Source organism: Homo sapiens, chromosome 1 (genome assembly GCF_000001405.40).
Source record: "Homo sapiens chromosome 1, GRCh38.p14 Primary Assembly".
In the NCBI taxonomy this organism is placed as follows: domain Eukaryota; kingdom Metazoa; phylum Chordata; class Mammalia; order Primates; family Hominidae; genus Homo; species Homo sapiens.
Genome location: NC_000001.11, coordinates 35568443 through 35595724, shown reverse-complemented (window position 1 = coordinate 35595724; position 27282 = coordinate 35568443). Strand labels below are relative to the sequence as shown.

The following is a 27282-nucleotide window of genomic DNA, read 5'->3' as shown; positions in this document are numbered from 1 at the left end:
CTCCCATGCTCTTAGGGGCCCCTTCCAATCCTACCCCCTGCCCAATTCCCAGGCCCTGCCTCTCCCCAGTGACATTGCCCTCTTAGGAGGCAAATCCAGGCCTGGGCTAAAGAAGGACAGGGAGGGCTTCATATCCAATGAAAGGCTTTATTAAGAGAATGAGAGATGGGGACATGGGGAGGTACATCAACTGCAGGGGCAAAATAACCACAAATACAAGATCCCAGTGACAACCTCAGGGTGCCTGACACACCTTTCTTCCCTCCCAACCCACCCACAGCCCTTTGCCAGCAAAAACACCCTCTCCCTCCTGGTCCAGCTGGACATATCAGTGTATGGCCAGAAAACAGTGAAATGAATCCCCAACTCATTGGGATAAATAAGTTGCACTGGACATTTTAAAATTTCAAATTTAATTACAACATACATAAATAAATAGGACAGACAGCAACAGGACTATGATGAGCAGCAGCCTGGATTCAAGTTCTGCGATTTGTGCTTTATCTTCTTTGTTCCTTGAGGACCCCTCCTGCCCACTTCTCTCTGAGAGTAGGAAGGGTACAAAGAGTCCACTGGGGCCTCCTTCCAGCACCCCTTTTCTGGGGGTAGGAGATTCTGGAATGAGGGGCACCAACTCCTCAGTAGCACCTCTGATTTATCAATTTTCCTCCTGCCACCAGTGAAAAACACAAAGGCTTTGGCCTCTAGAAGCACCCACGGCCACCCAGCCACGCTAATGGAAAGGGCTCTGCCCCATGAGCCAGATCTTTTCATGTCAATTTTCTGTCCAAACCCTTCTCAACCATCAAAGGTCAGAAAATTGCACACATGAGACAAATACCTGGGCCCTTAACTTACCAACACACCACCACAGAGAGGCCACCCTCCCTTACTCCAAGCCAGATCCCCAACTCTGGGATCTCTGGATGAATGTTCTCTTTCTGGCCTGACTCTAATCCCACCTTTCAGTCCTTCCAGGCCCACCCCCAAGAGCTAAGTCCCTATTTCAGGGCCTGGGAGCCCCTTAGGGATGGGGTGGGAGAAGCAGTTATTTCCGATGCTTGGCATCCTTCTCCGAAGCCTTGGTTTCACCATGCCCACTGCCCACACTGCTTAGAAACATCTTGTCCAGCCCCTTGAGTGACTCCAGCAAATAGTTCTGGAAGGCAGTGAGGGCAGCACAGATGGCAGGCCCACCGAAGCCATGGGTGATGAGGCTAAAGTGTGTCAAGCAGCTCTGTACTCCGGGCTCCAGGATGAGTGCTGGGCGGCTGTTGCCCAGCGGTGAGCGGTCCTGAGCCATCAAGTCTGCAAACTCCTTGCAGATCTGCCTGGTGCGAGAAGGAGGGTCAGAGGTTGGAGGACAAAAGTCTGAGCCCAGAGAAGGACCTGCTACATGCTAGGCATTTTACAGACATTAGCTACACAATTGCTGACCCTCCCAACAGTCTGCAAATGATGACCATACTGTTTTTTACAGAAAAGGAAACTAAGGTTCAGAGAAGTCATTTGACTAGCCCAGTATCACACAGCTAATAAACAGCACATGTCGATCACCCTGTAATGTTTCTTTTTTGGATGTCTGGCCCATATTCATTCAAAGTGCAGCTCAGCTACTTACTACCTTATATAGGAAACTTTCCTGGATTCCCTCTCCCACCCCAAACACTCAATGCTTCACAGAACTTTGTCTTTGAAGCTATCAGGAAACAATCCAGAATCTGCCGGAAATAATAACTAGCAGTGAATATAATTGAAGGCTGGATGCTGTGCCAACCACACTGTCTGCATCATCTTAATCTTCATAACAAGTCTATACTATTATTATCCCCATCATACGGACAAGAAAACTGGTTTCGGACAGGTTGGATGACCTGTCAAGGTGACCGAGCTGGGATTTGAACCTAGCTCTAGTTTGCAGCCATTCATTATTCATTCCTTTGTGCGTCCTGTGTGTGGCTCAGGCAAGAGAATCACTCATCATTCATCTTTGTGTCACCATGAAAGCCAGCCAGTATCTTACACATGACTGAGACCCACAAAGTGCTTGATGAATGAGCTGATAAGTGAACGAGGTGAGCCCCGTCCTGGCTAGGTTTCTCCAGCCACAGTATGAGCAGCCTCAGAGGTCTCTCCATTTGGCAGTCCCAGGAGTCTGTGCTTCCTCTTCTGCCTTGGGCACTTGAGGAAAGCCTCAAAGGCAGGAGGGTGGAGTTGTCAGTTTGAAGGACTGTGTTAGGTGGGAGGACTGGATGTTCTAAGCCGGAAACAAACCCAAGGATGTGAGGACAGGGTTGGCAGAAGTGGGTGGAGTTTGTGTGGGCCAGACTGTGGGGCCCTCAAAAGAGTTTGAACTTTAGCCTACCAACTGGTAGTTCTCAGATTTATCTCTCTCTTTTCTTTTTTTTCCGAGACAAGGTCTTGCTCTGTCACCCAGGCTGGAGTGCAGTGGTGTGATCCCAGCTCACTGCAGTCTCAACCTCAGCCTCCCGAGTAGCTGGGACTACAGGTGCGCACCATCACTCCTGGCTAATTTTTTTTTAGTACAGATGGGGTTTCGCCAAGTTGCCCAGGCTGGCCTTGAACTCCTGGGCTCAAGCGATCTGATCACCTCAGCTTCCCAAAGTGCTGGGATTACAGGCATAAGCCACTGCACTCAGTCTCTCTCTCTTTCTTTCTCTCTTTCTCTATCCCCCTCCTCTCTCTGTCTTTTCTTGCAGTGGGACTGCTATGGTGTGAATGCTTATGTTCCCCAAAATTCGTATGTTGAAATTCTACCCCACTAGGTGATAGTATTAGGAGGTGAGGACTTTGGGAGGTGATTAGGTCATGGAGGTGGAGCCGTCATGAATGGGATTAATGCCCTTGTTATAAAAGAAGCCAGAGAGTAACCCCTTCTCCCTTCTACAATGTGAGGACACACAGCAAGGTGCTGTCTATGAGCCAGAAAGCAGGCCCTCACCTGACACGGAATCTGCCTTGACCTTGAACTTCCCAGCCTCCAGCACTATGAGAAATAAATGTCTCTTGTTGGCTGGGCGTGGTGGCTCACACCTATAATCCAAGCACTTAGGGAGCCCAAGGCAGGTGGATCATGTGAGGTCGGGAGTTTGAGACCAGCCTGGCCAACATGGTGAAACCTTTACTAAAAATACAAAAATTAACCAGATGTGGTGGCAGGCACCTGTAATCCCAGCTACTCAGGAGGCTGAGGCAGGAGAATTGCTTGAACCCAGGAGCTGGAGGTTGCAGTGCACTGAGATTGCACCACTGCACTCCGGCCTGGGCAACAGAACAAGATTCTGTCTCAATAAATAAATAAATAAAAATTTCTGTTGTTTATAAGCTACCCAGTTTATGGTATTTTGTTATAGCAGCCCAAATGGACTAAGACAAGAACTCTTTTGGAAGAACTAAATCTTTCGCCTTTTTTTTTTTTTGAGATGGGGTCTCACTATGTCACGCAGGCTAGAGTACAGCGATGCAATCATGGCTTACTGCAGCCTTGACCTCCCAGGCTCAGGTTATCCTCCCACCTCAGCCTCCCAAGTAGCTGGGACTACAGGAGTGCACCACCACACCTAACTGTTGTATTTTTACTAGAGACCGGGTTTCACCATGTTGCCCAGGCTAGTCTCCAATTCCTGGGCTCAAGCGATCCACCAGCCTCAGCCTCTCAAAAGTGCTGGGATTACAGATGTGAGCCACCTTGCCTGGCCTGAAAAACTAAATCTTGGGGCCGGGAGTGGTGGTTCACACCTGTAATTCCAGAACTTTGGGAGTCCAAGGCGGGTGGATCACCTGAGGCCAGGAGTTCGAGACCAGCCTGGCCAACATGGTGAAACCCCATCTCTACTTAAAATACCAAAAATTAGCTGGGCCTGGTGGCAGGCGCCTGTGATCCCAGCTACTCGGGAGGCTGAGACAGGAGAATTGCTTGAACCCAGGAGGTGGAGGTTGCAGTGAGCTGAGATTGCGCCACTGCACTCCAGTCTGGGAAACAAGAGCGAAACTCCATCTCAAAAAACAAAAACAAAACTAAATCTTAATAGAATACTAGTTTGTTAAACAGGCCCTGAGGTGCCCTCGCAGACCTAGTTTGAAAATCAATGCAGCGGGAACCATTGAAGATTCTTATGCAGTGGGGCGGGTGCACGTGCAGGGAGGTTGGAAACAGGGACGCTCTGGGGTGAAGGTCCAGGAGTGAGATGAAGACCTGAGTAGAGGTGGCAGCATGTGAACGGTAGTGAGGGAGGCACAATGGGATTTGCAGAACAGTCAGGTGTGACTTGGTGGCCTGATGGACGTCACTGGAGCAGAGGGTTGATGGGCAAGGCTAGAAGAGGGAGCCTCAGACCTGCGATGGGGAGTAGGGCTGGTGGTGTCCTGGGAGTGTATGTGAGTGTAGGACCCATGCGTGAGCCTGTGTGAGCCAGTATGTGACATCACTGTTCCTGATGCAGGAGCCCAGATATGTTCACATGTAGTGTCTATGTGTGCTCCAGGAGCTTGTGAAGAGTGTTCATGTATGTCTGAGTGATAAACATGATGCCCAAATATACCCATATGTGGCACCCAAGTGTGCCCAGGTGGCATGCACACATATGCCCAGGAAAGCCTAAGCAGGGAGCCTAGGTGTGCCCATGTGTGGTGCCACATGGGCCGCAGGTACGTGTGTGTGCTCACTGCTCGTGTACACAGTGGCGCGCACGTACGTGTGTGTGCCCACTGCTCACGTACACAGTGGCGCACACATACGTGTGTGCTCACTGCTGATGTACACAGTGGTGCGCACGTATGTGTGTGTGCCCACTGCTCGTGTACACAGTGGTGCGCAAATACGCATGTGTGCCCACTGCTCATGTACACAGTGGTGTCCATTGTGCCCATACATGATGTCTGTCTGTGCATGGCACCCACGTGTGCCTGTGCAGGGTGCCCTCACTCACTTGGCAGCCAGCAGCATGCTCTTGCGGCTGTGCAGCTCCCCCGGGTCAGCGTGCTGTCGGCACAGGTACTCGGCAGCTGCCTTGGCTGGGAACTCCGTCTCACAGACGTAACCGAAGTCTCGGGCCAGGTGCACGGCCTCTCCTGGGGGGAGGGGAGCTGTCACTACTGCAGGGTGTACCTCTGCGCCTGGAACACAGCTTTGAACCTCTGACCCCCTGGTCAGGGGTATCCTGCCCCATCCTGCCTGTGTAGATGCCCCCTCTGATGTTCCTTCCCAGCCCAGCTCCAGCCCCCATTCCATTGCCCCACCTTGGGGCCATTAGGGTTGGGCTCTGAGCTCAGAGATGGGAGCTGGGCCCACCATGTATTCCAGAGGCACCAACCTCCAGGGGAGGGGGCTGTCACCCCCTTCATCCCTTTACCACATCCAAACACTGGCCACTCCCCGCCAACACACACACCCACACACCCACACCCACACCCACATACACATCCGCACACTGCAAGTAGGTCTCCATTGCACATGCATGCACACATGTACAAGGACTACACACAGAAATCACAAACACACCTTATACATGACAGAGAATACGCACACAGATACTGCAACACTTACACGGATACACACACACCACTAAACACACCCTCCTGCATTAGAGACAGTCACACCAGACAACTCACTTGCCCTCACATCCACTCCCATGCCCACCTTCAGGCCTCACTCACCTTCCACTAGCGAAGTCAGCAGCGTCACATTGGCGGCCTTGCGACGGCCAGCTGGCAGGTTGAGCCCAATCTTCTCTAACCGTTCCCGCAAACACCGGCCCCCATTTTTGGACTTGGCCCTTGACATGCACAGAGACAGACAGACATACAACTATGAAGACAAGAGAAACGCATGGAAGCTAAGTGGCTGCCAAAGGGCCTTGTTGCCTCCACCAGCCCCTGTTGAGGTTTGGGATTGGTCCTGGGGATGCTCTGAGGTCTCTTTCAGCAAGGGCGCAACTAATCTCCATGGTTTTGCAGCCAAGACAGAGGCAGGGGGGCCAGCACCCAGCTCCAGGAGCCCCTCAGTTCACTCTAATCCTCTCAACAGCAGGGGCAGCCAGGGTGGGGCATCCTGGGGACCTTAGCACACCAGAGGGCCACACACACCTACCAGGGGATACACAGACCTATATGTAGAGACACGCAGTGACATACAGAAAGAGAGACACATGGGGAGACACAGGTACACACACAGCCACCTGGTGACTCTCTCACACACACACACACACACACGTGAAAGAATAGAGACACATAGAACCAATAGAGACAGACATGCAGAGACACAGACTCAGACACCCAGGGACACAGAGACACAGGATCACACCAAGTCAGGGTCCCAGGAACACATGTACAGACACTCAGGGACTCACAGAGATCCTCCAAGACGCTAGGAGTAAGGAGATAACCCCTATGACTGCACACATGCCACTCCCACACAGTGGCACAGATATGTAAACATCCATATGACTAGCTCCAGATGCACAGGCAATCACACACACACACACACACACACACACACACACACACACACACACACAGAGCAGGACACACCCTAGGCCACACATCCCACTAGAAGAAACACAGGATACTCACACTCATGGAAACACATGCTCCTGGCCATCCGCTACTATAGACACATGCACACGCACACACATGTCCACACCATCCTCAGACTCATCCAAGCTCATGGCCCTGAAGCAGAAATACCCTTCCCAGGCACAAAGACATGCACAGAGAGAGAGAGACACAGGTCTAGGAAGATGAACCATGGACTACCATGCTCCACACCCCAAAACACACAGGGCCTATGCTGCCGCGCAGAATGGGCCTCGGGTCCTGGGGTTCATTTCCTAGAAGAGGGGGTGAGGATGGCCCTCTCTCTTCCCCAGACCCAGTCTCGTCCTGACCAGTGTGGATGAGTTCTCCATCCCTTCTCTGTGCCCAGGCTTCTTTCTCTGCCCACCTCCCTACCCCAGACCCACAGACATGTGGCAGCCACCAGGGACCTGGGCCGGCCCCCACAACATGCACAATCCAGAGTCCCCGGGGCCTCCCCTCCCAGGGAGACTGAGGCAGAGGGCCTAGGTGAGACTGGCCTCCTCTCTGATGCCTTGAGAAGGCCTGAAGAGGCCAGGGATCCAATCAGGCGGGGAATTGTGGGCTGGCCTTCCTACCTGCGGAGGACACCCCCCAGGAGGGAGGCGTTGAGGCACTCGGGAGGCGAGAGTCGCCGCTGCACCTCCCCCACCGTCACCTTGTACTTGGACGTTGAGCTGAGCAGTGAAAGCCGGCCGGGCACGGAGCAGAAGACCTCACCAGGATTTGTGATGCCGCCCACCAGGCTGTCTTTGGCCAAGGAGAGGGCTGAGAGGCTGCTGGCTTTGGAGGGGATGGGCACTGTGGAGAAGAGGGAAACGCTGAGCCAGTGGCTGCCGCACACAGCCCCACTCAAGGGAGGGTCTGGTATCCTTGCTTTATGAAGGGAGAAACTGAGCCACAGTGAGGTGAAAGTGACTCGCCCAAGTTCCCTCAACTGATGGATGTGAACTCAGAGACTGAACTCCGAGTTGTCTGGCTCTTGAATCTGTGTCCCCCTCACTGAACCAGGCTGGTCCTATCTTAAACTCAAACAGCTCCAGCGGAATCTTGGTGTTTTAGCGGATGCCATCAGAGAGGGACCTGGATGTAAGGATATGAGTGTGAGCTGGAGGCAGGACCCCTGGGGCCCTGCAGCAGGGTCAGGCCAGGGCTGGGCAATCACAGGGAGTCCCCAAATCCCCTCTTCCCATTCGTGATTCCCACGTTTTTCCTCTCTGCCCTCCCACCCCACCTCACCCCTGCATCGGTGAGGGGCCTGGAGACTGTGGGCTCCACATCCTGGAGACAGGGAGGTTATTGCCCTGTTAATGCCTTCAGCCCTGGCCCTCTCTTCCTGCCAAGTCACTCTGCGAATGCTAAAGGAGACCAGGAGATAGGCCCTATACCCCCTCCCCAAACACTCCCTAATTATCTACTAATTGTCTGAAGACCAGAGAAGGAATCTGAGAAGTTAATTTTCTTTCTTTCTTTCTTTTTTTTTTTTTTTTTTTTGAGATGGAGTCTCGCTCTGTCACCAGGCTGGAGTGCAGTGGTACCATCTCGGCTCACCGCAACCTCTGCCTCCCGGGTTCAAGCGATTCTTCTGCCTCAGCCTCCTGAGTAGCTGGGACTACAGGTGCCCACCACCACGCCTGGCTAATTTCTATATTTTTAGTAGAGATGGGGTTTCACCATATTGGCCAGGCTGGTCTCAAACTCCTGACCTCATGATCCACCCGCCTCGGCCTCCCAAAGTGCTGGGATTACAGGCATGAGCCACCGTGCCCGGCCAGAAGTTAATTTTCTAAAATTCACTTAGACATTCTTGGCTATAAGAGAAAGAAAGTTCTTCCTGCAGTCTAACCTCCATCCTCCTGCTTAGCCTCAGGGGAAGGGAGAATATCGAAGCACTTGCTTCTTTAGCGGAACCCTTTGGCCTTTTCTTCCTTTAAGGAGGTGACAGCCTTGGTAGACAAGGCCTCGTGTGTACATCAGGAGTGAGGCTCGGGTGTGGAGTCTGGGACTAACAGCTACTGAGCACTCACTGCTGTGTGCTCCCGTATATAAACCCACTCAGTCCTTGGAACAACCCACAAGGGGCTACACTTATCACTATTCCCATTTTACAGATGAGGAGACTGATGTCCAGAGAGGTGAAGTAATATGCCTGAGATCACACAGCTGGTAGACGGAGAACCGGTAGCAAACCCAAGACTGCAGTCTCAAAGGCGGTGCTGTTAGCCTTCCAGCCACTTGGCAATATTGGCTGAGCACTTTCATGCCAAGAATGGTGCCAGGGCTGAGGAATACAAAAGTAGGAAAGGCTAGCCTGATCCGTAGCCTGGCAGAACGTCTAGTCTCTCCCTCTCTGGATAAACCTCCCCACCTCCACCCAGCAGCCCAGCCAGAAACCTCTGTGATACCCTCTGCAACCCTCTCCCCCAGCACATCCCATCCATCACCACACCCCATCCATCACCACATCCCATCCATCACTAGATCCTACAGCTTTCTTTTTTTGTTTCTCCCACCCCTGCCCATCCTACGACTTTCATTTCTTTATGTGCCTTGTATGTGGCCACTCCTCTGCATGCACACAGACACAGGTTCCCTTCCCATGTGAATTTCTCCACAGACCTTGCTCTGGTCACCCTGCCCCAGTCCAGAGGGATCTTTCCATCTGAATGCATCATTCTGCAGCCAAAAACTCAGCCTAAAACTCATCAGAGCCCGGTCAGTTCCCTGAGAATCAAATCCCAGCTCCAGAGCTAGACAAAATGATGTCACCTGTCAATGAGTGCCAACTATAATTTCACCTGTCAATGAGTGCCAGGTGCTGAAAGTTCAAAGAGGTTAAAGTGGGACAGCAAGTAAGGGGCAGAAATGAACCTTCAACTCTGAGCACTGACTCCAGAGTTCACAGCTTTAACCATCATGTTACAATGGCCTCCTTCACCCTCCCTTGTGTTCTGGCTCTGCCTGCCCCTCTTGCTGGGTCCCCATTTGTCCATTAGGCTCTAGACCCAAGCTGACCAAGAGAAATATAATGTGAGCCACATGTATACATTTACATTTCCTAGTGTCCACCATTTTTTTTTTTGAGACAGGGTCTTGCTCTGTTGCCCAGGCTGGAGTACAGTGGTACAATCACAGCTCACTGCAACCACCACCTCCCAGGCTCAAGCAATCCTCCCACCTCAGCCTCCCAAGTTGCTGGGACTACAGGTGCGTGCCACCATGCCTGGGTAATTTTTGTATGTTTCATAGAGATGGGGTTTCACCATGTTGCCCAGACTGGTCTTGAACTCCTGGACTCAAGCTATCCACCTGCCTGCCTTGGCCTCCCAAAGTGCTGGAATTAAAGGGGTGAGCCACCAGGCCTGGCCCACATTTTAAACAGTAAAAAGAAACATGTGAAGTTAATTTTAATCAATATAATAGTAAATAATATATTACTATTTAGTATATTTTATTTAGCCCAATATATTAAAAATAGAATCATTTCAACATGTAATCAATATTTTAAAAATTATTAGTGAGATATTTTACATTGTTTGAAATTAGCCTTCAAAATCCAATGGACATTTTATGCTTAAGCGCATCTCAATTCAGACTAGTCACATTTTGGGTGCTCAAGAGCCACTCGTGGCTATAGTGGCCACTTGGTGGACAGCAAAGCTCCAGGCTTCAAGGGAGGAGGGGCTCAACAGGTAACATAGTAAGTGGGCTGTGGGGGAGGTTGGCAGGCTAGAGGGGCACCTTATGCAAAGTCCCGCCAAGCAAGACACAAAGCTCCTGGTTTGTTTGTGTTTTTGTTTTGTTTTGCTGATTTTTGAAACTAGGATTCTGGATTTTTCTGTGAAATCTCTGGAGTTTTAAGCATTGGCAATGATTCAAAGATTTAAAAACCCAGCACAGGCCAAATGGAACAAGTGTGAAGTGCCTCCTGGGATGTAGTGACTCCCAGGGTGTGAGCTCTTTGAGCCCCACAGTGCTCCTTCGGTTCTCAGGGGTCCTGCTCCACTCTACTGAGTTTAGGCACCAACCCCTGTGCAGAGCTTCTCTCCCCTGCCCCCCAGCTCCCTCTCACCCCCATCCCTGGCCTTACCGCACTGAACCTTCCTGGTCTGTTTCCATGGGTGTCTTCCCTACCAAGCATGAGTGTGTGGAGGGCAGGGTCTTGGCACAGGTGGCCATGAGTGAATATGAAATAAGCTAATGATGCAAGGGCTCTGGGAACCCGAACTGAACTATACTGTATGTATAAAAAAATTATACCTCGAGCTTGACTTCAAACAAATAAAACTACAAATGAGGCCAGGCACGGTGGCTCACACCTGTAATCCCAGCACTTTGGGAGGCCGAGGTGGGAGGATTGAGCCCAGGAGTTCAAGACCAGCCTGGGCAATACAATGAGACCTTGTCTCTACAAAAAATACAAAAATTAGCCCGGCGTGATTGCACATGCCTGCAGTCCCAGCTACTCTGGAGGCTGAGGTAGGAGGATTGCTTGAGCCCAAGAGGCAGAGGTTGCAGTGAGCTGACCATGCCAGCCTGGGTGGCACAGTGAGACCCTGTCTCAAAAACAAAAACAAAAACAAAAACAAAAAATTGATAAATTAAAAATAAAAAGAAGGGCAAAGTAACTGTCTTCCCTCCCATCACCCCTCACCAGAAGTAGGGGTTGGAGAAAAAGGATGAGCAGCCTTCTCCATCCAACTGCTATTAAAACCTAGGGCCCAGGCTGGCTGAGCATGGTAACTCACACCTGTAATCCCAACACTTTGGGAAACTGAGGCAGGAGGATCACTTGAGCCCAGAAGTTTGAGACCAGCCTGGGCAACATAGTGAGACCTCATCTCTACAAAAAAAAATTTTTTTAAGTTAGCCAGGCATGGTGGCATGTGCCCATAGTCCCAGCTGCTCGGAAGGCTGAGGCCACAGAATGACTGAGCCCAGTTTGAGGCTGCAGTGAGCTATGATTGCACCACTGCACTCCAGCCTGGACGACAGAGCGAAACTCCATCTCAAAAAAAATAAAAAAGGATGACTGTATACAAGAACTGTATGCCCTTGTGATAAATACAGCAATGAGGATGAGCTGGAGTATGGAGGAATGTGGTAGCCTAGATATGGATATTTGCAAGTGCTTTCTCCTGTTGATGCCAGATTTATGCAAACATAGGTGCTGCTAGATATAAGGGCAGAGATGACATTGCTCATGTGTTTGTGTATATGAGTGACTGACCTTGCTGCTTCCCCCACCTGTCCCTTTTTTTCTCAGAGCTTCTTCCCTTGAAAATGGCAAGAGGGATGGAATCCATGGTTAGGGAAGCAGGTCGGTCACAGAAGGGCAGTGGTGGAGGTAGGAATTAAACTAGCACACAGGGCAAAGCAGAGACACTAAAGTTTGTCTCCCACACACACAGAACAGGATTCCCTGTGGTGACTCCTGAAGCTGAAGTGATCTAATGGTGTCCTGCTGGTCACATATGCAGAAGCCATTCACACACACACACACACACACACACACACACACACACACTCCTGCAGACACAAGAGCTCCCGGTTATTCAACCTGTCAGACAAGGCACTCTGTCCGCAGGTGGTAGATATGGTCTGACTTCTGAACCTAGGCAAGTGTGCAACAGACTCTCCAAGAAGCCTTGTTAAAGTTGCAAGTTTTTTCTAGAAGAAAACATGGAAGGCCAGGCGTCCTGGCTTACACCTGTAATCCTACCACTTTGGAAGGCAAGGCGGGTGGATCATTTGAGGTCAGGAGTTTGAGACCAGCCTGGACAACATGGGAAAACCCCATCTCTACTAAAAATACAAATAACAACAACAACAACAACAGAAAACTTAGGAGAAAAATCTTCGTGACCTCAGGTTGAGCAAAGAGTTCCTAGATACAACACCAAAAGCAAGGCCCATAAAAGAAAATGATAGGCCAGGTGTGGTGGCTGACTCCTGGAATCCCAGCACTTTGGGAGGCTGAAGCGGGCAGATCACCTGAGGTCAGGAGTTTAAGAGCAACTTGGCCAACATGGTGAAACTGTCTCTACTAAAAATACAAAAATTAGCCCAGCATGGTGGCACTCACCTGTAATCCCAGCTACTTGGGAGGCTGAGGCAGGAGAATCGCTTGAACCCGGGAGGCGGAAGTTGCAGTGAGCTGAGATAGCGCCACTGCACTCCAGCCTGGGCGACAGAGTGAGACTGGTCTCAAAAAAAAAAGAAAGAAAGAAAGAAAGAAAATGATGATAAACTGGACTTCATCAAAGTCTAAAACTTTTGCACCTCAAAAGATATTATTAAGAAAATAGCATGGTATGGTAGCATGAGAATGTAGTCCCAGTTACTCGAGAGGCTCAGGCAGGGGGATCACTTGAGTTCAGGAGTTCGAGGGTGCAGTGTGCTATGATCTTGCCTGTAAATAGCCACCAAACTCCAGCTTGAACAACTTAGTGAGACCTATCTCTAAAAAGTTTTTTAATTAAAAAAAAAAAAGAGAGCAGTTGCTCACTCCTGTAACCCTAGCACTTAGGGAGGCCAAGACAGGAGGATCACTGGAAGCCAGGAGTTTGAGACCAGCCTGGGCAACATAGCGGGACCCTGTTTCTATGAAAAAAAAAAAAAAGATAATTTTTAAAAATGCAAAAAAAAAATTAAAATTTTAAAAATAGAAAAGAAAACGATAAACCACAAACTGGAAGAAAATATTTTCAAATCATATATCTGATAAAGGACTGTATTCAGAATATATTATATAAAGAACTATTATAACTCAACAATAAGATAGCAACCTAAATAGAAAATGGTCCAAATATGTAAATAGACATTTCACTAAAAATGAGAGATGAATGGTTAAATAAGTACATGAAAAAGTTCTTAACATTATTAGTCATTAGGGAAATGCAAATTAAAACTATACTGAGATACCACTTGATGGTTATAATAAAAAAGACAGGGGCCAGGCACGGTGGCTCATGCCTGTAATCCCAGCAATTTGGGAGGCTGAGGTGGATGGATCATGAGATCAGGAGTTCGAGACCAGCCAGCCTGTCCAACGTGGTGAAACCCCGTCTCAACTAAAAATACAAAAATTAGCTGGGTGTGGTGGTGCGTGCCTATAATCCTAGCTACTGGGGAGGCTGAGGCAGGAGAATTGCTTGAACCCAGGAGGCAGAAGTTGCAGTGAGCCGAGATTGTGCCACTGCACTCCAGCCTGGGTGACAGAGAGACAATCCATCTCAAAACAATAAATAAATAAAAAAGGCCAGGCATGGTGGCTCATACCTGTAAGCCCAGCATTTTGGGAGGCCAAGGCGGGTGGATCACCTGAGGTCGGGAGTTCAGGACCAGCCTGACTAACATGGAGAAACCCCGTCTCTACTAAAAAAACAAAATTAGCCGGACGTGGTGTCACGCACCTGTAATCCCAGCTACTCAGGAGGCTGAGGCAGGAGAATCACTTGAACCCAGGAGGCAGAGGTTACGGTGAGCCGAGATCACCTCATTGCACTCCAGCCTGGGCAACAAGAGTGAAACTCCATCTCAAAAAAAAAAAAAGAAAAAAAAGACAATTCTAAGTGTAGGATGTGGAAAAGTGGAACCCTCACACATTGCTGGTGAGAATGCAAAATAATACAGCCACTTTAGAAAATAGCTTGACAGTTTCTTAAAAATTAAACCTAAACCGACCATATAATCCAGCAATTGCACTCCTAGGAGTTTACTCAAAAGCGCTAAAAATATATTTCTATAGTAAGGCATGTATGTGAATGTTCATAGCAACATTATTTAAGACAGCTAAAAAGTGGAAACAACCCAAGTGCCCGTCAACTGACCAATGGATAAACAAAATATGTTACACCCGTACAATGGCATACTATGAAGCAATAAAAAGAAACAAACTGCTGATAATAGTTTGTTTCTTTTTATTGCTGTTTCTTTTACTTAGCATAATGTTTGGGGCGAGCCTCAAAAATATTATGCTAAGCAAAAGACGCTTGATGCAAAAGTCTGCATATTTATATATTCTATTTATAGAACATGTCCAGAATATGCAAATTTATGGACAGAAAGCAGATCAGTGGTGGCCTAAGGCTTGGGGTGAGAATGGAGAGTAGCTACAAATGGGAACTTCTGGGGATGGCAGAAATGCCTCAAAATGGATTTTTTTGTGGTAATGGTTACACAACTCTACATTTACTAAAAATCATCAAATTATATTCTTACAATGTGTAAATTTTAGGTATGTAAATTTTACCTCAAAAAATCGTTAAAAAATGCAAGTTCCAGGGCCATACTTCCAGGGGTTCTCATGCAGTCAATGTGGGGTGGTGCCCAAGAAATTTGCTTTTTTTTTTTTGAGGCAGAGTCTCGCTCTGTCGCCCAGGCTGGGGTGCAGTGGCGCAATCTCAGCTCACTGCAAGCTCCGCCTCCCGGGTTCACGCCATTCTCCTGCCTCAGCCTCCCGAGTAGCTGGGACTACAGGCGCCCGCCACCACGCCCAGCTAATGTTTTTTTTGGTTTGTTTTTGTTTTTTTAGTAGAGATGGGGTTTCACCGTGTTTGCCAGGATGGTCTCGATCTCCTGACCTCGTGATCCACCCGCCTCGGCCTCCCAAAGTGCTGGGATTACAGGTGTGAGCCACTGCACCTGGCCAAAATTTGCATTTTTAACAAGCACCCCCTGGGGGTCCTGATGCATGTGGTTCCTTGGACTACACTTAGGGTACCACTGGTCCAAAGCTTGAAGGGGTTGGAGCAAGAGGAAGGTAGACGGGAGGAGTAGTGACCTGCTCCCTGGCCCACACTGGGGCACAGCATGTGCAAATGCCCTCCCTAGAGTCTCCTCATCTCCCCTGCTGGGACCTGCCGATTAAGTTTCCTTCTCATCAACTGCCAGAGGGTTTCTTTCTTTCTTTTTTTTTAAGATGGAGTTTTGCTCTTGTTGCCCAGGCTGGAGTGCAATGGCACAATCTTGGCTCACTGCAACCTCCGCCTCCCGGGTTCAAGCGATTTTCCTGTCTCAGCCTCCGGAGTAGCTGGGACTACAGGCGTGCACCACCATGCCTGGCTAATTTTTTTTGTATTTTTAGTAGAGATGACATTTCACCATGTTGGTCAGGCTGGTCTCAATCTCCTGACCTCAGGTAATCCACCTGCCTCGGCCTCCCAAAGTGCTGGGATTACAGGCATAAGCCACTGCGCCCGGCCCAGGGTTTCTTTTACATATAATTTCTATCCTTCACTCCCCTGCTCCAAGGTTTTCCATAGCTCCCACCATTTTCAGGTAAAGTCCAAACTCCATCTGCACATTTTTTAAGTTGCTTTCTGGGGCAGAGAGTAGCCTGGGAGGCAGGTGAGAAAGGGTTGTGGAAGTGCAAGTTCAGTAAATTTTTGATATTTTGTTTATCGTGGATTTTTGCACTATTTTCATTTAAAAAGGCCAAGCGTGGTGGCTCACGCCTGTAATCCCAGCACTTTGGGTGGCTGAAGCGGGCAGGTCACTTGAGGTCAGGAGTTCAAGACCAGCCTGGCCAACATGGTGAAACCACGCCCCTACTAAAAATACAAAAATTAGCTGGGCGTGGTGACAGGTACCTGTAATCCCAGCTACTTGGGAGGCTGAGGTACGAGAATCTGAGAGGCAGAGGTTGCAGTGAGCTGAGATCGTGGTGCTGCACCCCAACCTGGGCGAGAGAGTAAAACTGTGTCTCGAAAAAAAAGATTTTTTTTTTTTTTGAGACAGAGTTTTGCTGTTGTTGTCCAGGCTGGAGTGCAATGGTGTGATCTTGGTTCACTGCAACCTCCGCCCCGCAGGTTCAAGGGATTCTCCTGCCTCAGCCTCCGGAGTAGCTGGGATTACAGGTGCCTGCCACCCCACCCAGCTAATTTTTGTATTTTTAGTAGAAACGGGGTTTCACCATATTGGCCAGGCTGGTCTCGAACTCCAGACCTCAGGTGATCCACCCGCCTCGGCCTCCCAAAGTGCTGGGATCACATGGTGTGAGCCACCGCCGCCCGGCCTCTTTTTTTTTTTTTTTTTTTTTTTTTTTTTTGAGATAGTCTCCCTCTGTTGTCCAGGCTGGAGTACAGTGGCATGATCTCGGCTCACTGCAACCTCTGCCTCCTGGGTCAAGCAATTCTCTTGCCTCAGCCTCCTGAGTGGCTGGGATTACAGGCTAGCGCCACCACACTGGGCTAATTTTTGTATTTTTAGTAGAGATGGGGTTTCACCATCTTGGCCAGGCTGGTCTCGAACTCTTGACCTCAAGTGATCCGGCCTCCCAAAGTGCTGGGATTACAGACGTGAGCCACTGCGCCCGGCCTATTTATCTTGATTACTGAGTTTTTTGGCACCCTCTCAAATTCTGTCCCAGAAGTCAGTATCTCACTCATCTCACCCATGTCCTGGCTGCTTAGAGATTGTCTGGGAAGTGGAGACCCTCCCCAGCTCCCTCCTCCTTCTCCAGGGCCAAAGACAGCAAGGAATAGGGCGACTGTTTACATCAGCTCCTGTCCTAGAGATCCCCTGAGATTGGACAGCTGAGCCCGTGGAGAGGGATTCCCCACCCCCAAGTAGGCAACCACCCACTCTCCTCCAGAGGGAACGAGGGATCCATCTCAGTTCTCATCCTTGACCACTCCCCTCCAGCTCTGATTGTATAACCTGAAACCCACACACGGTTTGTAACTTTTTTTTTTTTTTTCCGAGACGGAGTCTCGCTCTGTTTCCAGGCTGGAGTGCAGTGGCGCGATCTTGGCTCACTGCAATCTCCGCCTCCCGGGTTCAAGCGATTCCCCTGGCTCAGCCTCCCTAGTAGCTGGGACTACAGACGCGCACCACCATGCCCGGCTAATTTGTTTGTAACCTTTTTAACCTGTCTGGCTTTTCCACAGGGAGAGGATTTGCATATGCTGTGTCCTGTGTGATGAAAGGAGCCCTTTTTACACACCCCCTCTTTCAATGCACTCAGACTTCAAAGCCCATCACTCATTCATTCAACAAACACCCACTAAGCACCTCTTGAACCCGGTTCAACTATCTCCCCTCTAGGCACTCACCCAACCTCGGGCACTCTCCGCGCCTCCTCTGAGCTCCTCCCGCGTCCCATACAGCCCCTGCTCACTGCTGGAAAATATTCCTGTTAAGCTCCGTCTCCCCACCAGTCCTGCTTGCTTTCTGTGTGTCTGGGATAGGTTGCAAAACTGGAGGTGACAAATGTGGGCAGGAAATGGAGGGCTCCCTTATACTCCTAGGGTCGGCCTCAGCCCTGCCATTTCCTGCCCAATACCGCGGATGCAACTGGCATGGGACCCGGAAGTGTGTGGTAAAGCGCCGGGGCTTCGCCTGGCCGCCCCTCCCGGACGCTTGCCTGCAGTCAGCGAAGCTTTTCCAACCCAGGTCTGGGCCCTGCGAGCTCCAGGTGCCTCTGCCCCGCGGCGCTGGCGAAGTCGAAGCCCGAGAACGCCCACCGCAGCGATGCGAAGGCCGCTTCTGGGGTGGGGCTGAGGCTGCAGCTGCCTCCCTTTCGCACCAAGGACCCCAACCTTCAGCGACGCAGCCGCCGCTCCCGCCCAGGCTGGGAGGCACTGTAGGGATCCGACGCTTCAGGTGGCCAAAGAGCGACTTTCTCTGATTCCAGGGCCCTGGCGGGGCAGGCTCCAGTACCGCACTCGGCGGAGGCCGAAGGTCTGTGGGGCAGGACAGGAGTTCCTCGTGCCGTCGGAAGGGCCGAGGACGAAGGAGGGCGCTAATTCACTCCCCACTGGGCTGGCGGCAACGCCGAATCCCGCAGTGACCGCGGAGGGCCAAGGTGAAAACTGCTGGGGGCGCCGAGGGCAGGTGTGGGGAGGGGCGGCTCCAGGGAGCAAGGAGCCCACCTGCCTCGCCGCCGCAGCTGCCCTGGGTCGACCGCCCACGCTTTCCCCTGGGTCACGACCTCCGGATCCAACTGTGCCCGGCTCCTGCCCCTTCCCCTTTGCTGCTGCTGCGCGGGCTGTAACTTGACGTCTAGGCTGGGGCGTCCAGGGCGCAGTCTCCGCTCAGGTCGCCAGCGCTCCACTCGCTCCACTGGGCCACAGACCCGCTGGCGCTGGGGTCCCGCTGGCGCTGGGGTCCCGCTGGCGCTGGGGTCCCGCTGGCGCTGGGGTCCCGCTGGCGCTGGGGTCCCGCTGGCGCTGGGGTCCCGCTGGCGCTGGGGTCCCGCGGTTGTGCACGTGAGTCCGCGTGGCCCCGTCCCGCGCGGTTGTGCACGTGAGTCCGCGCGGCCGCGTCCCGCCCCGCTCCAGGGAGCCAGCGCGCCGCCACCTGGGATGTTAGGACTCTCGTTGTGTTCTTTGGACTGCTTTGGGGGATTTCGGCGTACCCCTAGGATCTAGGAGTTTTGGAAGTTGTTTGAGAGAAACCAGCTCTGGGAGGGCCTCGCATCCAGTCTCCTGTCTCGGCTTCGGACCGGGGTTCCGGGTTAAGGTGCTCAGAGGAACAGCTGATCCTTCTACCCTTGCGCAGGGCAGAGATCCCCAAACCTCTTTCTAAAATGCAGGGTCTTAGTCTTTCTCAGGGAGTCAGTGAACCTAGACTCCCAGTCTCTTGAGCCCAAGCATGAATAGGGAACTGGGGACCACCACCATGCTCATATTTCTGGTGGCCAGGAAGTCCAGGCAGGCTTTTGCCCACTGCAGACGGATCTCTTTCTTCAGGGGTCAAGAAAGGCTCTGTACAGTAAGCCAACCAAGCCCCACCAGCAGAGCTGCGCTGCAACCAGGTTCCTAGTGTCTTTCCCACACTCCCAGTTCCAAGCGACACAGGACACAGCCCCAATTCCACCTCCCCCCACCCACTTCCTGCCCTGTTGCCTCATCTTCCCTGCTACACACTCCAAGTCATCCACCCAACCCCCAGCTCCTGGTAACTCAGCCCCAGCTCCTGGAAGTCCAGCCCCAGCCCTGCTACCACCACTTCCACCTTGGCCTCCCCTGAGAACAAGTGGAGGGCAAATAGAGCCCAGGCTTGAATTCACTCGTTTGAAAAACAACTCAAGCCAAACCCTGTGGGAGCAGTGCCTGCCTGGGGCACCTCAGGCTCATGTGCACCTCTGAATTCTTTCGGGCACCTGCCCCAAATGTAAAGAGGCTGCTACCCAATGCCTGGGCCCCTCTGACTCTCTGCTCCTCTCTGGCTGTCTCTCTGTTTTTGTCGTCTCTCACCTTCCCCTGTCATGGCCAGTACTTGGTCCTCAGGCCAGAAAAGGTGGATCCCGTGTCCCTGGATTTTACTAATGCCAGGAGTCACATAAATACTCCTATATATACACAGAGAGGGCCCGCGCATGCTTGGAAATCCTCAGATACCAAAGAACAAAGTGCAGGACACAACAGAGATACTGTACATATTGAGAAATGTGTACATCCCCCAAATGCAGAGAAATGCACACCAACATACAGAGACACACCTCACAAACACATTCACAGAAACAGACACACTCACACTCCAAGAAATACTAAGACACCCATGAAGGGAACATTTCAGACATGCACAGGACCCTGAACTCACATGGACACAGACACCCAGGAGCAGGTGGGCCCTGACTCAGGTGCACACAGCCTAACACACAGTACTCACACACAAGCTCCCCTAAGTCTAAATGCCGCAAGAGACTCCCACAGAAAGAAAATTCCCCCAGAGGCCTCCAAGGCCCTGCCTGGAAGGAAGAGGAAGAAAGTGCCCGCCAGGCACCGAAATGCTAAGGCACTGTAAAGTGAAAATCATTTCCCCAACTCCGTGGGAACAGCACTTCCATTCCCATCTCTTAGGGAAACAGGGAAGTGGTTTAACTCGTTCTGCAAATCAACTCCAGATCCACAAGAGTGCCCTCCCCCTCGGCGGGGAGAGGCCAGGCTCCCAGTGCTGCAGCCCAGTGAATGCTGATCCGCTGAGGCCCACCCCAGGCCACAGGGTGCTGGGCAAACTCACCAAGCCCGCACGTCTGCCTAACATCTGGCTGGGCCAGGAAGAGTGCCTGGTGGACACCCAGCCTGGCGACACACAGGAGGCACGGCCGGTGAAGAAAATGGATCTGTGCACCAAGGGCCTGCACCATCTCGCCGGGCTCTGCCCTGACAGACCATTCCTTACCTTTCTTGATCACGGACTGGTCTAGGAGGCTCATTCCCGGCTCGTCCATTGCCTGCAAATAGCAGAGGGCAGCGGTGAGGGCGCATAAAGCCCTAGCCGCCCATGTCTTCCCAAGCCCCTGCCACCCAGGGTCTCTGTCTGCTCCGCCCAAGGCGCACCAGCTTCGCTTGGGGCGGCGACGGGCAGGCCCAGGAATCGCTATGTCCAGGCACTGAGCTGGAGCCCTGGGCATCTCACTGTGCAGTGCAAAAAGGGAATTTTGAATCTTACACTGGTAACTATTATGCTTCTCTTCGCCCCAGGTGCAGGCTGCCCCATGGATGCCACACGTGGCAGCGGGGAGAAAAGAAGTGATTCGGTCCCTGCCGAGGGTTGCTGCCACCCACGCACTGCTGGCGGACTCAGTGCCAGGCAGCCTTGATGGCCAGGCAACGTCTAACCCAGGAGGTGGGACACATCCTCGGAGTCACCAGTGAGATGTGGCGAGCTGGGAGAAAAGTCGGCTTCCTGCATTTGTCACCTTCTGCCTCCAGCCATGGTAGTAAACCACCGCGGCCAGTCCCGACCCATCCCGGATCCCTCGGGTCTCACCTGCAGGTCCTCCAGACCGGGGGCCGCCGCCAGCCCCGGAAGGCCGAGAGGTGCGTCTGCCAGGCCGTGCGCGCCGTCGGCCAGGCCGTGCAGGAGCCGGGGCACGGCAGTGGCATAGTCACGGCGCGGGTCAAGGCCCAGGGCGCGGGCGGGCGGTGCCAGCAGGCCGGGAGGCTCCTCGTGGGCGCGGGCGGCTGCGCGGGGCGCGGCCCAGGCGGCCTGAGGAGGCTGCGGCTGCGCCAGGGGCGCCAGGCCGCCATATGGGTCCCCTGCCAGGTGGGGAAAGGCTGCGGCGGCGTCGGGCGCCTGACCGTAGGGCAGCGGTGGCTGCGGGTAGGGCGGCGGGAAGTAGGGCGGCTGGAATTCGGCGGCAGCTGTGGCGGCCGGCGTGTGGCAGAGCGGGGGCGCCGGCCCGTAGGCCGCCTGGGGCAGAGACGACAGGCGGGCCCCGCCGGCAGCTGCTCCCAGCCCGTCGGGGCGCTCCTGGGGAAGGAGAGGGGTGCCTTAGGTGACCCACTGGCAGCTGAAAGGACCCCAGCCTGAAAGGATCCTCCTCAGCTCGGGAGGGTTCAGCTGCAGTCCCTCCCGTTTCTTGGGGCCCGAGGTTTATTTCCGAGCCACCCGCGGGCGCAGGAGCCTCAGGCTGGGGACAGCGGTCACTTGCGCATCGCGTTCTCAGCTGGCGAAGTCCCTGCGGCCCCCTCCCTCCGAGATTTCGTTAGCGCGGGACAGGAGGGTTGGAAAGTCCAGCACTCAGGCGCCCCGATCCCCCGGCCGAATATGTCCCGGGCCCGAGACTACTCACCATGGCGGAGTAGGTGTGCACCAGCATGGGGCGGTGAGTGCCGGGCGCGAGGCGTGGCGGCGGCGGAGCCCTAGCCCGACGGCGAGCGCTGCGGGCAGAGGCGCCGGGAGCCGGCACAGCCCGCGGAGGTCACGGTGCGGTAGCTGGGTGCGACCCAGCCGGGATCCTAGTGGGCGTGGGGTCCTCAGCGGTGGCCGTTCCCGGGCGGGTCCATGGAGGCAGGACGGACGGGCACTGATCGCACTTGGAAAAGTCGGTCAACGGGTGCCCAGCGCCCGCCCTTCCTCCTCTGAGCGTAGCCTGCTCCATGCACTCCAGTTATAGTGGCGGGGGCGCGCCGGGCCTCCGGGGGCGCGCATTAAAGAGACAAGCTATGGCAGTTCTCTCCCTTTTCCCCAGCGGCTGCCACAGGGGAGGCAGTGGCTTTGGCGGGATCGGGTAGGGTGGGTAGGGGGCGTGAATTCAGCCCACATTGATCAGAGCCGCCTTCTGGGCTCGCAGCTCGCAGCTGCAGTGAAACAGAAATATTCGAGGCTGGGACGCAAGGGCCCTACATTTGCCTGGCTCTATCACATCCTTGCCTTTAAGCAAAGCACTATTCTTCGCTGGCCTCAGCTTCCTCGGTAAAATAGGTATCAATCCTTTCTCTAAGCACCTCAAGAGACTTTGGATGAGGTGGGTAATCGGGAACGTGGAAGAAGTTTGTGAGCTGAAGACTCCAGCCTATCTGCTCATGCGCACACAGTGTCAGTGCGTGTGTTTAGGGGGTCTACCATCACAGTCTTTCCTGAATGGTTCTGGATCAAAATCCCTCGAAGGTGCCCACTTCGCTCTCAGGCTTCCTGGGCTGAAAACTTCCAAGCCAAGCCAGGCTCTGAGGGAGTTGGAGACAGAAGCTGGCCAGACAGAGAGAGAGACTTGCCTGGGATGGGTTTGGGTATGAGCTCCACCTGACAAGGGGCCAAGATATTTCTGAAGCCACAGGGTCCTGGGCTGATTGAGTGTGGGCATGAGATACCCAGAGACTGTTGAGTGACTGTGTGTAACTGACTAGCATGGATGCCGTGTGATTGTTACACTAACATGCGCAGGCTACATGTTCCTGTGTTACCATGGCAGGCACTCCCTGGCTGTCAAGCAAGTTCCAGTCTCTGTAGTCACTCTCTCTTTCTCCCCAAACCCAACCCTCCCCTCCTGACAAGCAGAGACAGGGATTAAAGATGGACAAATGAGAGGAATGCTAAGGAGAACAGGAATTAAGAAAGCAGAAGAAAGATGTTTTTTAAAAGCAAGATGTGCAGACCAGGGCAAAGTAGAAATAATCACAGCAGACTTATTACAGAATGTGCCAGCCTCTGTGCAAAGTGCTTCACGAATATTGGGTTCTTTAACCCTCACAGCAGCTCTATGAAAGAGATACCCATATCATCCCCATTTTCAGGGGAGGGGTGAGGCATGGAGAGGTTAAATGGCTTGCCCAAGGTCAAGCAGCTAAGTGGCAGAGCTGGGGTGATCTGCCCCTGGCCCCTCTCTGCTCAGAATCACTATTCTCTACTGCCTCAGACTCAGGGGCTTGGATTTAGTCCTGACTCTGCCTAACTGTGTGATCCTAGCTACATCCCGTTTCCTCTGTGATCTCAGTTTCTGCAACTTCGACAACACCAATAAAAAAGTAGGGGAAGGCAGAGAAGACTAGTTGTTTTTTTAGGTCCCTTTTTAGTGAAGTAGTAAATGAGAAGATTAAGGTAAAATTATTGATATAGAAGAGGAGGTGATAGTGACACCATTAACTCATGGAATATATGGTTCCAAGTGGGTATCCCAGAAGGCACATGGCAGGTGCAGAGCTCAGGGCTGGATGATCTCAGCCTGGGGAGTGGTGGGGAAAGAAGGAGGCTAGAAGCCAAGGATTCATCATTAAGAACTTTCTGAAGTCTGGAACCGCCAGCGAGGTTCCAGAGGATGAAGCGGAATTGGGAAGCTTTGCAACTTTCCTGCTCGAGATGGGTCAGAGATCAGGATTGTGTTTGTGTGTATCTATATATGAGGGAGTCTGTGGCAATGCCCTGTTCCTCCCTCCCTCAACCCCAGCCACAGGGCATCAGAAGTCAAGCTCCAGGACAGGTGTCAGTGCGTGAATAGAAATTGATGAACTCCTCTGGGAGAAGTCTAGGAGCCGCAAAGGAGATGATGCCTGTGCCCAGCTGCGGGGATGCCCCTGCTCTCTCCAGCAGCTTGGGAAGGCCAGAGTGGCGGGATGTGCTGCCTGTCTGTGGCTTCCTTGGGTTTTCTCAATCTACTTCCTACACCTTTGATAGCCCCTTTTTGCCTCATTGTCCTACTCCGACCATTTCTGTCTTCTTTTCTGTTTCTCTTTTCACCTACATGCTTAATGTCGGTAATTCTTTCTCAGAGCAGAGAAGCTTCTTTTTCTTCCTGCACTCTTCATGAGTGAGCTCATCCCCTCTCAAGTCTTTTTTTTTTTTTTTTTTATAACAGAGTCTCACTCTGTTGCTTGGGCTGGAGTGCAGTGGCACAATCTCGGCTCACTGCAACCTCCACCTCCCGGGTTCAAGCGATTCTCATGTCTCAGTTTCCTGAGTAACTGGGATTACAGGGGCCCACCACCACGCCCGGCTAACTTTTGTATTTTTACTAGAGACAGGGTTTCATCATGTCAGCCAGGCTGATCTCGAACTCCTGACTTCAAGTGAACACTCGCCTCAGCCTCCCAAAGTGCTGGGATTACAGGCATGAGTCACCACGCCCGGCCCAAGTCTTTAATGACTACCTGTCTACTGTTATCTCCCAACTGTGTTATCTCTGGCCTGAATCACTAGTGAGAGATCCAGACCCATAGACACAGCTGCCAGCTGCGTATTTTCTCCAGACATCTCATTGCAGCTGTCTGAAATTTTCCAAGTCCAACACTGAACTCAACATCTCCTCTATCCCCAGCACCAACCCCAACCTGCTTCTCCTTTGCTCTGTAGTTTCATAAATGACACCACCCTTTTTCAAGTTCAAAACTTGCTAGTCATCCCAGAAGAGCGTAGGTCCTTTCCTTAACCCCCACAAGCTAATCCTTATGGAGTGTTGCCATTTCTAACCCTTAAACATCCACCCACAGAAGGTATGTGGTGGAGAATTGAGGCAGGTATCCCAGAGGGCACATGGCACCCTGTCTCAGCACCTTAAACTACCTTACTCTTACTCATAGATCAGTGGCTCTCAAAGTGTGGTCCCTTGAGCCCAGGAGTTTGAGACCAGCCTGGGCAACACAGCCAAAGAGTGGTTCCTGGACCAGCATCACCAACAATATCTGGGAGCTTGCTAGAAGTCCCAATTCTTGGATCCCACTCATGACCTTCTGAGTCAATAACTCTGGGGGTGGAGCCCAGCAACCTGTGTTATTAATAAGTCCTTAAGGTGACTCAGAGGCACATTAAAGTTTAAGAACCACTATCTAGGCCATTGCAACAATTCTCTAACTGGTCTCCTGACTTTATTCATATCTCTTCTGATCAATTTCCAACTTCCACAAGAGTGACTGGACCATGTTACCTCCCTACTGAAAACTTTCCTAGGGCTCCCCATGACCCATCTTCGGGGGAAAAAAAGTTTAAACATTCTAATGAGCATTCCAGACTCTGCAGTTGTGACTAACTTACTTTTCCTCTTTCAGGAACTGCTTCACAAGATTAAAGGAGAAACAGAAAATGTATCTAGCGCTGTGCTTGGGGCATGGCAGGAACTCAATGAATGCTTATTAAATACTGTAAATGATAAACACATCAATGGATGGTGTTATGAATCCACTGGCCTATTAAGGGATCCTTTAGGAAGGCTCTATGTGAACATGATCCTGGGTATCTACACATAGAACCCAGGTATAATCTGAAGAGATCATCTGATAAGTGAGTGATTTTGATTATGGCTACTGGGGAGAGGGATGTTCTCCATGGTCTGCTGCTGCTTTGAGTCTCCCTAAAACATCAGAGTCCCATGATTTCAGACTCAGGACTACTTCTTTCAGTGCCAAGGGACTCCTCACTCTCTGAGGCATGGAGGTGGAGATTTCTGGTTGTCTGCTCCCTGGGACACATGCACACATGTGGAGGCCTGGGGTGCAGTGGGGTACACATGCAGACAGCCTTGGGAACATGGGGCACACAACTTGCACAGAGACATTCATGGGAAACACAAGTACACATAGGAACATGGGACATATATTGACATAGAGTTGCATGCTCAAACATACGTGGACTCCCATTTGGCACACTTGGCATACTGCTTTTCTCCAAGGCTCCTTCTCTTTTCAAAAAGTGAGCTTGCATTTGGATTTTATGTTAAGAAAAAACTCTGATCTGCCTCATTTATTGTTGACACAGCCACCCTCATCCTCCCAGCCTTTGATCACCTCCTGCTCCAGGCCAGGCTGAGTGTTTGCAGGGTGGGGAAATCTGGCACAAGGAGATGCCAAGGCGCCATCTCGTGGTTAGATCTCACAACTGCAGCTCAGATCTCCCTTTTCCCCACTCCGCTGAAATACCAAGAGCAAGCCAGAACTCTCTGACCATACCTCATTTAAGCACAGAACTCTGTCTGCCTTGTATTAGGAAGCTTTGCAGGGTTTGACTTCTCCACTATGGGAGGGAGAGCACCCTGACAGCAGGGACCATGGGTGGCTGTCACTTTATTTGGGACCTTTCTCTTCTCTTTTCACTTCCCCAGATGATCTCAGTCCCTCCCATGACTTTAGGGACCCTCTATACTGACAGCTCCCAAATCTGTCACTTGCCCAGACTTTTCTTGAGCTCCAGACCATAGAAAGCAACTACCCCTTGGATATACCATGAGCAGCACAAATTCGCCATTTACCAAGTTGAGTTGTGTATGGTATGCACAAATCTGTCTCTGTCCCAGTGTTCCCAGTGACAGTGAATGCCCCATTATCCACTCAGTCTCCCAGATCAGGAATCTGGGAGTCATCCTTGGTTCTACTCCCCTTCTCTTTACCCCTCTTCACTTCCAGTTAATCACCAAGTCCTATTAACTCCTACCTGTATCTTCTCCAGCCTCATTGCCACTGGCTTAGTTCAGACTTAGCATCTCCTCTCTGAGCTCCCTGGCTCAGCCATTCCTCTTGCAGTGCCTCATCT

At 51.9% G+C, this 27282-nt stretch overlaps 1 protein-coding gene and 1 long non-coding RNA gene across 6 annotated transcripts, besides 10 other annotated features; one reads left to right on the top strand and one right to left on the bottom strand.

Annotated features, from left to right (window-relative positions):
• Nucleotides 1-133: 133 nt before the first annotated feature.
• On the bottom strand, nucleotides 134-22411 carry TFAP2E (transcription factor AP-2 epsilon). 2 transcript variants are annotated; one of them, XM_017001139.3, is made up of 7 exons: nucleotides 22121-22411; nucleotides 21316-21798; nucleotides 20725-20776; nucleotides 7173-7395; nucleotides 5677-5795; nucleotides 4950-5091; nucleotides 134-1327 (listed from the first exon to the last, which is right to left on the bottom strand). In XM_017001139.3, exons 1-7 carry the CDS (start codon nucleotides 22145-22147, stop codon nucleotides 1303-1305), a joined length of 1071 nt encoding a protein of 356 aa, XP_016856628.1. In that variant the 5' UTR covers nucleotides 22148-22411; the 3' UTR covers nucleotides 134-1302. The 2 variants fall into 2 exon arrangements, with proteins under 2 accessions (XP_016856628.1, NP_848643.2); NM_178548.4 differs by having other exon boundaries at nucleotides 397-1331.
• Nucleotides 4456-4955: an enhancer, noted in NCBI's record as "H3K4me1 hESC enhancer chr1:36056371-36056870 (GRCh37/hg19 assembly coordinates)". NCBI's record gives its function as "activates a minimal SCP1, AML or CMV promoter by ChIP-STARR-seq in naive H9 embryonic stem cells {active_cell/tissue: H9 hESC(naive)}" and the evidence as "EXISTENCE:reporter gene assay evidence [ECO:0000049][PMID:30033119]".
• Nucleotides 4956-5457: an enhancer, noted in NCBI's record as "H3K4me1 hESC enhancer chr1:36055869-36056370 (GRCh37/hg19 assembly coordinates)". NCBI's record gives its function as "activates a minimal SCP1, AML or CMV promoter by ChIP-STARR-seq in naive H9 embryonic stem cells {active_cell/tissue: H9 hESC(naive)}" and the evidence as "EXISTENCE:reporter gene assay evidence [ECO:0000049][PMID:30033119]".
• Nucleotides 17557-18409: an enhancer, noted in NCBI's record as "H3K27ac-H3K4me1 hESC enhancer chr1:36042917-36043769 (GRCh37/hg19 assembly coordinates)". NCBI's record gives its function as "activates a minimal SCP1, AML or CMV promoter by ChIP-STARR-seq in naive H9 embryonic stem cells {active_cell/tissue: H9 hESC(naive)}" and the evidence as "EXISTENCE:reporter gene assay evidence [ECO:0000049][PMID:30033119]".
• Nucleotides 17785-17954: an enhancer, noted in NCBI's record as "active region_735". NCBI's record gives its function as "activates an Ori minimal core promoter by ATAC-STARR-seq in GM12878 lymphoblastoid cells {active_cell/tissue: GM12878}" and the evidence as "EXISTENCE:reporter gene assay evidence [ECO:0000049][PMID:35858748]".
• TFAP2E-AS1 (TFAP2E antisense RNA 1) lies at nucleotides 17863-25914 on the top strand. 4 transcript variants are annotated; one of them, NR_183385.1, is made up of 3 exons: nucleotides 17863-18403; nucleotides 21027-21262; nucleotides 25806-25914. It is a non-coding gene; the product is annotated as a TFAP2E antisense RNA 1 (long non-coding RNA). The 4 variants fall into 4 exon arrangements; NR_183383.1 differs by having other exon boundaries at nucleotides 21027-21365; NR_183387.1 differs by having other exon boundaries at nucleotides 17863-19059; nucleotides 21027-21365.
• Nucleotides 17965-18034: an enhancer, noted in NCBI's record as "active region_734". NCBI's record gives its function as "activates an Ori minimal core promoter by ATAC-STARR-seq in GM12878 lymphoblastoid cells {active_cell/tissue: GM12878}" and the evidence as "EXISTENCE:reporter gene assay evidence [ECO:0000049][PMID:35858748]".
• Nucleotides 18215-18304: an enhancer, noted in NCBI's record as "active region_733". NCBI's record gives its function as "activates an Ori minimal core promoter by ATAC-STARR-seq in GM12878 lymphoblastoid cells {active_cell/tissue: GM12878}" and the evidence as "EXISTENCE:reporter gene assay evidence [ECO:0000049][PMID:35858748]".
• Nucleotides 18410-19262: an enhancer, noted in NCBI's record as "H3K27ac-H3K4me1 hESC enhancer chr1:36042064-36042916 (GRCh37/hg19 assembly coordinates)". NCBI's record gives its function as "activates a minimal SCP1, AML or CMV promoter by ChIP-STARR-seq in naive H9 embryonic stem cells {active_cell/tissue: H9 hESC(naive)}" and the evidence as "EXISTENCE:reporter gene assay evidence [ECO:0000049][PMID:30033119]".
• Nucleotides 20960-21706: an enhancer, noted in NCBI's record as "H3K27ac-H3K4me1 hESC enhancer chr1:36039620-36040366 (GRCh37/hg19 assembly coordinates)". NCBI's record gives its function as "activates a minimal SCP1, AML or CMV promoter by ChIP-STARR-seq in naive H9 embryonic stem cells {active_cell/tissue: H9 hESC(naive)}" and the evidence as "EXISTENCE:reporter gene assay evidence [ECO:0000049][PMID:30033119]".
• Nucleotides 21948-22447: an enhancer, noted in NCBI's record as "H3K4me1 hESC enhancer chr1:36038879-36039378 (GRCh37/hg19 assembly coordinates)". NCBI's record gives its function as "activates a minimal SCP1, AML or CMV promoter by ChIP-STARR-seq in naive H9 embryonic stem cells {active_cell/tissue: H9 hESC(naive)}" and the evidence as "EXISTENCE:reporter gene assay evidence [ECO:0000049][PMID:30033119]".
• Nucleotides 25407-25508: a silencer, noted in NCBI's record as "fragment chr1:36035818-36035919 (GRCh37/hg19 assembly coordinates)". NCBI's record gives its function as "represses an EF-1alpha promoter that drives an FKBP-Casp9 reporter gene in an ReSE screen in phorbol 12-myristate 13-acetate-treated (for megakaryocytic differentiation) K562 erythroleukemia cells {active_cell/tissue: K562(+PMA)}" and the evidence as "EXISTENCE:reporter gene assay evidence [ECO:0000049][PMID:32094911]".
• Nucleotides 25915-27282: the final 1368 nt, after the last annotated feature.

What these genes read in the sequence shown, in the direction of transcription:
- TFAP2E (NM_178548.4), bottom strand. Translation starts at nt 22,147, where the DNA reads ATGCTGGTGCACACCTACTCCGCCATG. An exon ending in CTGGGGGGTGTCCTCCGCAG is followed by an intron (nt 5,796 to 7,172) that starts GTAGGAAGGCCA and finishes GTGCATGTCAAG; the next exon opens with GGCCAAGTCCAAAAATGGGG. An exon ending in AGCATGCTGCTGGCTGCCAA is followed by an intron (nt 1,332 to 4,949) that starts GTGAGTGAGGGC and finishes TTCTCGCACCAG; the next exon opens with GCAGATCTGCAAGGAGTTTG.